The following is a 13,214-nucleotide window of genomic DNA, read 5'->3' on the forward strand; positions in this document are numbered from 1 at the left end:
GTGTGGTGGCTCATGCCTGTAATCCCAGCACTTTGGGAGGCCAAGGCAGGCAGATCATGAGGTCAGGAGATTGACACCATCCTGGCTAACATGGTGAAACCCTGTCTCTACTAAAAATACAAAAAAATTAGCCAGGCATGGTGGTGGGCGCCTGTAGTCCCAGCTACTCGGGAGGCTGAGGCAGGAGAATGGCATGAACCCGGAAGGCAGAGCTTGCAGTGAGCCGAGATCATGCCACTGCACTCCAGCCTGGGTGACAGAACGAAACTCCGTCTCAAAAATAAATAAATAAATAAAATAACAAGAGTCACCTTTGCTCCAGTTCCCAACAAGTTCCTTATCTCCATCTGAGACCACCTCAGCCTGGACTTTATTGTCCATATCACTATCAGCATTTTGGTCAAAGCTATTTCACAATTCCCTAGTGCTGCCCACAAAGAAGGCTTCAAAGTAGTGACATTCCAATGGTAATGAGCACCTAACACCTACATTTTGGTTTCTAGGTATCATTTTCCACTAAAAGGAACCAGAACTCTTTGGAGAAATGGTTGGTTTCAAGGCTGGGGCAGGGAATGTACAAAATGACATCTTATATATTGCCTCGGACATCTTGTGACAGAAAGTAAGGAACTGCTCAGAGAATGATGGTGACTATTTAAATCATCTTGAGCTGCCATAATAAAACACCACAGATGGGAGGCTAACATAAGTCATTTATTTTCTCACAGTTCTGGAGGCTAGAAGTCCAAGGTCAAGGCATTGAGAGGGTTGGGTTCTCTGAGGCCTCTCTCCTTGGCTTGCAGATGGTGGCCTTCTTACTGTGTCTGCACATGGCCTGTCTCTGTGCTTACATCCTCCTGGTGTTTCTTTCTCTTCTTATAAGGACACTAGTCCTATTGGATTGAGGTCATACACTTATGGCCTCTTTTAACCTTAATTACCTCTTTAAAGGCTATATCTCCAAATATAGTCATATTGGCGATTAATCCTTCAACATAGGAATGCTAGGGGGAGGGGACATAATTCACTCTATAGCAGGGATGAATCAAAAAGACACAGAAGCCAGCTTGAAGAGGTCTCACTGGCTGCATCTGAACAACTTGAGCATTAAAATAATAACCTTAATACTGACAGAAAGAAAGAGAGAAAGAAAGAAAAGAAAAGAAAGAAGGAAGGAAGGAGAAGAAAAGGAAAGAAAGAAAGAAAAAGAAAGAAAGGAAGTAAGGAAAGAAGGAAGGAAGGAAGGAAAGAGAAAGCTTTTTCAGTAAGTAGAATGACAGAAGGAATGATGGAATTAGATAATTATCATTTGGGACCAGGCGCAGTGGCTCATGCCTGTAATCCCAGCACTTTGGGAGGCTGAGGTGGGTGTATCACCTGAGGTCAAAAGCTACCAGCCTGGCCAACATGGTGAAAACCCGTGTCTACTAAAAACACAAAAATTGGCCAGGCGTGGTGGTGGGCACCTATAGTCTCAGCCACTTGGGAGGCTGAAGCAGGAGAATCGCTTGAACCTGGGAGGCAGAGGTTGCAGTAAGCCACGATTGCACCATTGCACTCCAGCCTGGGCAACAGAGTGAGATTCTGTCAAAAAAAAAAAAAAAAAGATAATAATCATTTTGCATCTGTCATGGACTGAATATTAGTGGCCCCCTAATATCTATCTGTTGAAATACCAACTCCCAAAGTGATAGTATTAGGAGGTGGGATATTTAGGAAGTTATTAGCTGATATGGTTTGGCTGTGTCCCCACCCAAATCTCATCTTGAATTGTAGCTCCCATAATCCCCACATGTCATGGAAGGGACCCAGTGGGAGGTAATTGAATCTTGGGGCAGGTTTTTCCTGTGCTGTTCTCATGATAGTGAATAAATCTCACAAGATCTGATTTTTTTTATAAAGGGCAGTTCCCCTGCATACACCCTCTTGCCTGCCACCATGTAAGATGTGCCTTCGTTCCTCCTTCTTCTTCCACCATGATTATGATGCCTCCCCAGCCATGTGGACTCTTGGACTTACACCAGTGGTTGGCAGGGACTCTTATGCCTTCAGCCACAGACTGAAGGCTGCATTGTCGGCTTCTCTACTTTCAAGATTTTGGGACTTGGACTGGCTTCCTTGCTCCTCGGCTTGCAGACAACCTATTGTGGGACTTCACTTTATGACCGTGTGAGTCAATTTGCCTTAATAAACTCCCTTTCATATATACATCTATCCTATTAGTCCTGTCCCTCTAGAGAACCCTGACTAATACAGGAATACACAATCCTACACATATTCGCAGCTACATTTCTTTATTTACCTGTATATATTGAAAACTATGGATTCCTACAGATGCCTCCAATTCCAGTCCAACACCACAGGGTTCATTCTAGTTTTCTCTCTTTCCCTATTTGTAATGTCCTTCTCCAACAATGAGAAACCTGGCTTCTATTATCCTTAACATATACAGTTATTTGATAAATCCCCCTCTTTGTAACCACTCTTTACCACTCTCCATCTCTGCTGCCACTTCCTTTTCAGGTGGATGCCCTCCTTACTCTTCTTAGGCTCTGGTACCCCCAATGTGCCCACCCCAACCCCTACATGTAGAATCGTTTTTTTTTTTTTTTAATGAGACTGAGTCTCACTCTGTCACCCAGGCTGGAGTGCAGTGGCATGATTTCGGCTCACTGCAACCTCTGCCTCCCAGGTTCAAGTGATTCTTGTGCCTCAGCCTCCTGAGTAGCTGGGATTACAGGCGCGTGCCACCACCCCCAGCTAATTTTTGTATTTTTCGTAGAGACAAGCTTTTGCCACAATAGCCAGGCTGGTTTTGAACTCCTGGCCTCAAGAGATTCACCTGCCTTGGCCTCCCACAGTGCTGGGATTGCTGGCGTGAGCCACCGTGCCTGGCCTAGAATCCTTCTTACCTCTACTTTGGTTCTGATTTCCCATGCCAGGCCATCCCCATGTAGGGATGCTCTCCTCAACTACTAGGATCTGATAAACTGTACGGGACCATTCCAACGCATGGATGCCCTCACCCCAGTCAAGCTAACTGATCATACCAGCCATCCCCTCCCCCTCCCTCATTGCCCTACTCTGGCTCTGATATCTTGTTCTGGGACACTGTGGCTCCCACTCTCATCACCATGGGTGCCAACCTCGCTCTGGCCTACCTGATGACTTCAGGGCTGAACTGTTCCAGTAAGGAAAATAGGAAAGAGTATGCAAAGGAAGGAAAGAGAAGGGAAGGAAAGAGGGAAGGGGAAAAAGAGGGGAAGAACAATTTTTTACATGCATATATATATTTACTTACTGTGAAGTGTACGAATCTTAAGTGCATATTAAGTGCATACCTCAACAAACCTTTACAAAGTGAACAATCCATGTGACAGCCAACCAGATGAAGATATGGAACATTACCCACACCTCAGACGTCTCCCTCATACCCCATCCGGTTATTGCCCTCTTCTAGATAACCAGCTTCTATCCCTATGGAACAGTTTGGCTTATTTTTAATTTTATATACATGGAAACATATAGTATATTCTTCTGTTTGGGACTAGCTTCATGGTATTTGTGAGATCTGTCCATGCTGTTGCACGTGGCAGTAGCTTGCCCTTTGCCTTTGCCTCCTATTCCATGGAATGAATATACCACAACTTCTGTATGCCCATTCTATTGCTGATGGCCCATTTGACTCTTCAAGTTTTTGTTTTGTTTGTTTGTTTTTTGAGAGACAGGGTCTTGCTCTGTGGCCAAGACTGGAGTGCAGTGGTGCAATCATATCTCAATGCAGCCTCAACCTTCCAGCCTCAAATGATCCTCGCACCTCAGCCTCCTGAGTAGAAGAGACCACAGGTGCATGCCACCACACCTGGCTAATTTTTTTTTTTTTTTGGTAGAAACAGGAGTCTCACTGTGTGGCCCAGGCTGGTCTCAAACTCCTGGCTCAAGTGACCCTCCCACCTTAACCTCTCAAAGTGTTGGGATTACAGGCATAAGCCACCGTGCCTGGCCCTCTTCAAGTTTTTTTTGCTTGTTTGTTTTGTTTTTTTTACCATTAGAAGTAACGTGGTTACAAACTTGCACATGCCCCTTTAATGCATATATAGGTGCACTTCTATTTGGCATATACTTGAAAGTGAAATTGCTGGGTTGTAGAGAATGTATATGTTCAGCTTTAGTAGTTATTGCCAGAGTTTTTTCTAAAGTGGTTGCAGAAATTTACACTCCTCCCATCCGTATGAGAGTCCCAGTGGCCACATCCTTATTAGTAGCATTGTCTGTCTTTTAATTTGTAGCCATTCTAGTGAATATGTAGTAGTATCTCATTGTGGTATTAATTTGCATTTTCTGATAAATATGTTGAATACGTTTTCATATGTTTATTAGCCAATTAGATATCTTATTTTATGAAAAGTATATTGAATCATTTGCCCATTTTCTGAAAAAAATTGGATTGTCAAACTTTTTTTATTTTATAAGATATTTTAAATAAGTTCTGGACACAAGTCCTTTGCTAAATACATATATTGAAAATATCTGCAGGACATGGTGGCTCATGCCTGTAATCCCAGTGCTTTGGGAGGCCGAAGTGGGCAAATTGCTTGAGTCCAGGAGTTCAAGACCAGCCTGGGCAACATGGCAAAACCCTGTCTCTACTAAAAATAAAAAAAAATTATCTGGGTATGGTGGTGCGTGCCTGTGGTTCCAGCTACTCAGGAGGAGGCTGAGGTGGGAGGATCACCTGAGCCCAGAAAGTTGAGGCTGCAGTGAGCCATATACTCCAGCCTGGGCAACAGAGCGAGACCTTGTTTCAAAAAGAAGGAAGGGAGGGAGGAAGGGAGGGAGGGAGGGAGGAAGGGAGGGAGGGAGGAAGGAAGGAGGGAGGGAGGGAGGGAGGGAAGGAAGGAAGGAAGGAAGGAAGGGAGGAAGGAAGGAAATATCTTTCTGTGGCTTGCCTTTTCACTCAGTGATGTCTTTTGATGAACAGACGTCCTTAATTTTACTGAAATCCAATTTATTAATGTTTTCCTTGTGGTTAGTTGTGTGTGTATGTGGGTCTTGTTTAAGAATTTTGTGTCTAATACCAAGATCATGAACATATTCTCCTTTGTTAGTCTCTGTATTCTAAAATGTTCTTTTTTCTTTTGCAATTCACAATTACTCTTTAAAAATGTACTTCTAATTTTTACCAAAAGTATATGTGTGCATAATTTAATTTAGATGCCAGGAATCTATGGGGCAGGTTAAAAAAGGGCAGTAGTCCCGTCCTCCTTCATACTATCTCCTTCTCCCCAGCGCCAGTGATCTTCAATGCGATCAGCTATTTTTTATATAGATATTCTCTGTATCTCGAAATAACTTGCTTTCATTATGACTTCTTGATATTTCAATTTGGGAAATCATCTTTTGACTTCCCAGTATGGAAGATGAGGATTTAGTTCTCTCTCAATCTCTCTCTCTCTCTTTTTTTTAAGACAGAGTCTTGCTCTGTCGCCCAGGCTGGAGTGCAGTGGCACAATCCAGACTCACTGCAACCTCTGCCTCCTGAGTTCAAACGATTCTCATGTCTCAGCCTCCCAAGTAGCTGGGATTACAGGCAAATGCCACCATCCCCAGCTAATTTTTGTATTTTTAGTAGAGACAGAGTTTCACCATATTGGCCGGGCTGGGCTCGAACTCCCGGCCTCAAGTGATCTGCCTGCCTCAGCCTCCCGAAGTGCTGGGATTACAGGTGTGAGCCACTGTGCCTGGCTGATTTACTTCTCTTTGACTCCTAACCTTTACCACATTCAGTCACACTTCCAGTCGTACCAGCCTCCGAATGTGGTTGCATGATAATTTTGGTTAGCCAATATTCAGTGTGTACCTTACTATAACTACATAATCGTCATTCTTATCTGAGCTGTGTCGTGTGCTATGATCACTTCTGCTCTTTGTTCTCCTGGAGTTCATACTTTTCTTGTGTTGTTGGTGATGTTCATTTAGTTTTCCGTGTAATTACCACCATTTCAATCCCAGTGGTCCAAATCGCCCGTTAGGATGTTCAGACACATCAAGAATTCTGTTCGGTTCCTTTTCTTGAAGCAATCTCTTCTGAAGGCTTTCTATCCATCCTAATCCAACTGGTTGCTCTCCAGCCCAGGTGAACAGCCCTCAAGCTGTAATCTCCTGAACCATCCTTCCAAGACTGGATTCCCCCTTTTCATAAAGCCCATGTCTTCCTCTTCCGTGTTTTATTCTCTTGTTTTTTCAGGAGCTCATCCTCCAATAGATTTGTGAGAAGGTGTACATCTGAAAATGTCTTTAATCTACCCTTACATTTGAATGATAATTTTACTGGGTATACAATTTTAGGTGACAAATAACTTTTTTTTTTTTTTTCCAGAATTTGGGAAGTCTGTTTCTATTGTTCTTCACATTTTGATTAATGACCTACCTAGAACTAACTTTTCTTTGTGGTCTAAAGTAGTGGTCAAAGTTCATTTTTTCCCACATGAATATTAAATGTATGCAGTATCATTTGTTGAAAAGGTCATTCTTTCCTTATGTCATTTCACTGGATCATATAGCTGTGGGCCTGTTTCTGAACTCTTTGTTGTGTCCCATTGGTCTATTTGTCTGTAAGTTTTGCCAATACCAACTGTTTGCACTACTAGAGTTTTGTAATAAGTCTCACTAACAGGTAGTTTAAGCCCTTCATTTTTGTACTTATTTATGATGATTAGTTTTGGCCTTTTGCATTTCCCTATACATTTTAGAATCAGCTTGTCGATTTCCACCAAAATGTAATCCCAGCACTTTGGGAGGACGAGGCAGGTGGATCACTTAAGGTCAGGAGTTGGATACCAGCCTGGCCAATATGATGAAACCCCATCTCTACTAAAAATACAATAACTAGCTGGGCGTGGTGGTGGGTGCCTGTAATCCCAGCTACATGGGAGGCTGAGGTGGGAGAATCGCTTGAACCTGGCAGGCGGAGGTTGCAGTGAGCCAAGATTTTGCCACTGCACTCCAACCTGGGTGACAGAGGGAGACTCCATCTCAAAAAAAATAATAAATAAAAATAAAAATAAAAAAGAAAAGAAAAGAAAAAGAAAATAACCTTCAAGGATTAAAAATGTTTTTATAAAATAGATTTATTGAGATGTAATTCACATACCACATGATTCACCCATGTAAATAAGTGTATAATTCAATAGATTTTTAACATATTTACAGAGTTGTACAGCTGTCACCACAATCAATTTTACAATATTTTCATCACCCTCTAAGAAAACCTCCATGCCCATCAACAGTCATTCCCTTTTCTCTCCCACTCTACCCCCAACCATAGACAATCACTAATTCTATTTTTCTGTCTTTATAGATAAGCCTGTTCTGGATATTTCATATAAATGGAATCATAAACATGTGGTCTTTTGTGAGTAGCTTCTTTCATGTGGCATAATGTTTGCAAAGTTGATCTATGTTGTAGCCCCTGTCAGTACTTCAATCTTGTTCACAGTTGAGTAATATTTCATTCCACGGATATACCACATTTCTTTACCTATTCATCTGTTTTTTCCACATTTGGGCTATTACGCATAATGCCACTTTGAACATTCATGCACAAATTTTTGTATGGACATATGTTTTCATTGAATATATACCTAGGATTAGAATTGTTGGGCCACAGGTAACCTTATGTTTATCCTTTGGAGAAAATATAAAACTGTTTTCCAAAGAAGTTACACCATTTTACATTCCTACCAGCAGTAAATGAGGTTATATTAGGTTGTATTGAATCTGTAGGTCAATTGAGGTGAGAATTGACCACGTTATAACATGACACTAGCAATCTATGAATACAGCGTATCTCTATGTATTTTTTAAAAGGTCTTTGTCCCTTCATTAATATTCTATAGTTTTCTGTATCAAATCATGAGCATAGGCCAGGTGTGGTGGGTCATGCTTGTAATCCCAGCACTTTGGAAGGCCAAGGCTGAGAGGATTGCTTGAGCTCAGGAATCTGAGATCAGCTTGGGCAACATGGTGAGATCTCATCTCCAGTAAAAACAAACAAACAAAAATTATGAGAATATTTTGTCAGATTTATTCCTAGGTGTTTGGGATTTGATTTTTTTCATTGACTTTTTTTTCATTCTCTAATTGCTATTGCCCACTTTTGGAAAGTTTTCAACGTCAACCTTGTTTCCAGGAACCTTGCTAAATTTAATAACTTACAGCATATCTGTAGTTCTAGGGTTTTGTTTGTTTGTTTGTTTGTTTGTTTTTTGAGACAAAGTCTTGCTTTGTTGTCCAGGCTGGAGTGCAGTGGTGCAATCATGGCTCACTGCAGCCTCAACCTCCTGGGTCCAAGTGATCCTCCCATCTCAGCCTCCCAAGTAGCTAGGATCACAGGCATGCACCACCACACTTGGCTAATTTTTTAATTTTTTGTAGTCTCCCTATGTTGCCCAGGCTGGTCTAAAATTCCTGGCTGCAAGTGATTCTCCTGCCTTGGCCTCTCAAAGCACTGAGATTTCAGGCATGAGTCACTGGGCTTGGCACATATCTGTAGTTTTAAAAAATGTTCTACCTACATAATCATGTCATCAATGAAGAGCCACAGTTTTATTTTTTTCTTTTCAAACCTTACACTTTTTATTTCTTTTTCTTGCCTTATTGCACTGGCTAGGACTCCAATACAATATTGAACAGAAATGGTGGTGGTGGGCATCCTCAATTTGTTCCACTCTCAAAGGGATGATTTTCAATACTTCATGCCATAAAATGTAAAGTTTGCTGTGTTTTTAAAATTCACTATCAGATTAAGAAAATTTCCTTTTATGCTTAACTTGCTAAGAATTCTTATCATGAATAAATGTTGAATTGTTATCAATTGCTTTTTAAACATCTACTGAAATATGATTTTGTTCCTTTATACTTTTAATGCTGTGATTTATATAACTGGTTTTCAAATGTGAAGCCAACCTTACATTTCTGGAATGAATTAAAATTTGTCATGATGCATTATCATTTTTTATTTAGTACTAAATTTGATTTGCTATTATTTTTGTTTAGGATTTTATGTCTGTGTTTTGAAATAAATTGTTCTGTAATTATCATTTGGTGTAATGTCCTAGTTCGGTTTTAATATCAAGGTTATGCTGCCCTCATCCAAAAAGTTAGGAAGTGTTCTTTCTATTCTCTGAAGGAGTTTGTGTTAAACTGGTATTATTTCTTTATTTAATGTTCGGAAGAATTAAGCAGCTAAGCCATCTGGAAGTGTTTTTTGTAGGAAAATGTTTAATTTCTGATACAATTTTTCTAATAGATGTAGGACTATACATGGTGTTCCATAAGATTTGTTGTGTTTTTCAAAAATTTTGAGCATTTTATCCAAAATTTCTAATTTATTAGTGCAGAGTCATTATAGTATCATAATATCTCAATTGCCTGTAGGATGTGCAGTGGATGGATTCACAGCAAAACTGAGCAGAAGGGTTCTTCTGCCCCTCCTGGTGCTGCTTGTGTGCTTGTTCAGTGAGGACCTGGTACCTCTTTTGTGAAGCAGCATCTGAGGACACTCTGGCGCTCGCCATGGCCCATGAAAAGCCCGAGGAAGGAGTAAAGACTGAGAGCAATGATTATATTGATTTGAAGGTGGTGGGGCAGGATGGTTCTGTGGTGCAGTTTAAGATTAAGAGGCATACACCACTCAGTAAACTAATAAAAGCCTATTGTGAATGACAGGGATTGTCAATGAGGCAAATCAGATTCCAATTTGACGGGCAACCACTCAATGAAACAGAGACAGCTGCACAGTTGGAAATGGAGGCTGAAGATACAGTTGATGTGTTCCAACAGCAGATGGGAGGTGTCTACTGAGAAGGGAAACTGCTTTTTTTTTTTTTTTTTTTTTTTTTTCCCTGAGACAGAGTTTTGCTCTTATTGCCCAGGCTAGAGTGTGCAGTGGCACAATCTTGGCTCACTGCAACCTCTGCCTTCCGGTTTCAAGCAATTCTCCTGCCTCAGCCTCCCAAGTCACTGGGATTACGGGCGCTCGCCACCACGCCCAGCTAATTCTTTTGTATTTTTAGTAGAGATGGGGTTTCACCATGTTGGTCAGGCTGGTCTCGACCTGCTGACATCGTGATCTACTGGCCTCGGCCTCCCAAAGTGCTGGGATTGCAGGCGTGAGCCACCGTGCCCGGCCCGAACCTGCTTCTTTACCACAGAACTCAATTCTTTAAAGACCAAGATTACGAGATTACATTCTCAATTAGAAAACTGCAATTTGGTTCCACCCAATCCTGACTATTACAATATAGTTTTCTCTATTATTTGATTTCCCCCTTCCCAATTTCTTTATTGTACATAAAGTAACTGATATATGTGCACAAGCATAGTGCATTTTTTTAAACTAAACAGCCAATGGTATGTTTTGATTGGCATCAAGTGGAGACGGGATGGGGAAAAATACTGATTCTGTGAAAATACCCCCTTTCTCCATTAGCGTCATGTTCATTCAGCTCCTATCTTTATATTCCAGTAAGTTATTTTGCTCTCACTGTTTTAACAACAACAACAAAACATAAAAATCCTTGCATACCTGTTCAGTTGGAGAATTTTAATGTTTTTCATTTATCATTGTAAAACCAAGGACAATTTTATAACTTTTTTGTACATAGCTGTTACAGGTAGGGTAATCTGTCTTTAAGTAGGGAGAAATTGCTCTAAAAAAAAAAAAAAGAATCCTAGATAGTTTTCCCTTCAAGTCAAGCATCTTGTTGTTTAAATAAACTTCTTGTTTTTTAAAAAAAAACTGAGCAGAAGGCACAGAGATTTTCCATAAACCCCTTGTCCCCATATAGTCTCTGCTACTATCAAAATAGTACATTTGGGCGGGGAGCAGTGGCTCACACTTGTAATCCCAGAACTTTGGGAGGCCGAGGTGCGTGGATCACCTGAGGTCAGGAGTTCAAGACCAGCCTGGCCAATGTGGTGAAACCCTGTCTCTAATAATAATACAAAAATTAGCTGTGCGTGGTGGTGTGTGCCTATAATCCCAGCTACTTGGGAGGCTGAGGCAGGAGAATCACTTGAACCCAGGAGACAGAGGTTGCAGTGAGCCGAGATCATGCCATTGCACTCCAGCCTGGGCAACAAGAGCAAAACTCTGTCTTAAGAAAAAAAAAAAAAGTACATTTGTTGCAATAGATGAACTCATATTGATACATTATTATCACCCAAAGACCATAGTTTATATTAGGGTTCACTCTTGGTGTTAAGTATTCTGAGTTTGGACAAATGTATATGATATATATCCACCACTGTAGCATCATACAGAATAGTGTCACTGCCCTAAAAATCCTCTGTGCTCTGCCTGTTCATCCTTATCTCTCCCCACCCCTGGCAACCACTGATCTTTTACTAGGTTTTGCCTTTTCCAGAATGCCATGTAGTTGGAATCACACAGTAGGTAGCTTTTCCAGATTGGCTTCTTTCAGCTAGTAATATGCATTTAAGTTTCCTTCATGTCTTTTCACCGCCTGATAGCTCATCTCTCTTTAGCACTGAATAACATTCCATTGTATGAATGCACTGCAGCTTATTTATCCATTCACCTACAGAAAAACATCTTGATTGCTTCCACGTTTCAGCAATCACAAATAAAGCTGCTATAAACATTCATCTGCAGGTTTTTTGTGTAGCATAAGTGATCAACTCATTTGGATGAATATCAAGGGACAAAATTGCTAGATCGTATGATAAGAATGTGTTCAGTTTTGTAAGAAACTGCCAAACTGTCTTTCAAAGTAGCTGTGCCATTTTGCGTTCCCATCAGCAACAAATGAAAGTTCCTGTTCCATATCCTTGCCAACATTTGGTGTTGTGAGTGTTCTGGATTTTGGCCATCCTAATATGTATGCAGTGGTATCTCATTGTTGTTTTAATTTGTAATTCCCTAATTACATATGATGTTAAGCATCTTTTCTTATATATAATTGCCATCTGTATGTCTTCTTTGGTGAAGTGTCTGTTTAGATCTTTTGCCCATTTTTTAATTGGATTGTTTGTTTTCTTATGGTTGTGTTTTAAGAGTTCTTTGTACATTTTGGAAGAGTTGTTTATCAAATATGTCTTTTGCAAAAAAAGACAATCCCCATCTGTGGATTGTCTTCTCATTCTCTTAACAGTGTCTTTTGCAGAGCAGAAGTTTTTCATTTTATTTAAGTTCAGCTTATCAATCTTTTCTTCCATGAATCAAGCCTTTGGTGTTTTATCTAAAAAGTAATCTCAAGATCATCTAGGCTTTCTCCTGTGTTATCTTCTGTAAATTGAAGATACATAATTTTGCATTTTATTTTTTCTTCACTTTTGAAGAATAATTTCACAGGTCCCAGAATTCTAGGTAGATGGTTTTTCTCTCACAACACTTTTTAAATACAATCATGCATCACTTAGCAACAGGGATACATTTGAAGAAATGCATCATCGGGTGATTTCATTGTTGTGCAAACATCATAGAGGGAACTTACACAGAGCTAGATAACAGAGCCTACTATACACCTAGGCTGTGTGAGATAGCCTGTTGCTCCTAGGCTATGAACCCGTACAGCACGTTACTGTACTGAATGCTGTAAGTGACTGTAACACAATGGCAAGTGTCTGTGTATCTAAACATATCTCAATGTAGAATAGCTGCAGTGAAGGTATGGTGTAATAATCTTATGGGACCACCGTACGATTGTATGTGGTCCATCATTGATCGAAATGTCTTTATGCGGTGCATGATTCTATTTTACTCCACTCTGTTCTTGCTTACGTGGTTTTTGAGGAGATGCCAGATGTAATTGTTATCTTTGCTCCTCTATGAGGAAGTTGGTTTTTTCCTCTGGTTTCTTTCAAGATTTTGTATTTATCTTTGATTTTCTGCAGCTTGCATAGGATATGCTTAGACTTTTTTTTTTTTTTTTTTTTTTTTTGCTTTTATCCTGCCTCGTGTTCTCAAATTCTTCCTGGATCTGTAGTTTGGTGCCTGACTTTAATTTGGGAAATTCTCAGTCATTATGGCTTCAAATATTTATTCTATTCCTTTATTGCTTCTCCTTCTGGTATTCCCATTATGTGTATGTTACACCCTTTGCAATTGTCCCACAGTTCTTGGATATTCTATTCTGGGCTTTGTGTGTGCATGTGTGGTGCATGTATGTGTGTGTTTTCAGTCTTCAGAA

At 40.4% G+C, this 13,214-nt stretch overlaps 1 pseudogene; it reads left to right on the forward strand.

The window, feature by feature from the left end:
- SUMO2P7 (SUMO2 pseudogene 7) lies at positions 9,481 to 10,082 on the forward strand (annotated as a pseudogene).
- Positions 10,083 to 13,214: the final 3,132 nt, after the last annotated feature.

Source organism: Homo sapiens, chromosome 17 (assembly GCF_000001405.40).
Source record: "Homo sapiens chromosome 17, GRCh38.p14 Primary Assembly".
In the NCBI taxonomy this organism is placed as follows: Eukaryota; Metazoa; Chordata; class Mammalia; order Primates; family Hominidae; genus Homo; species Homo sapiens.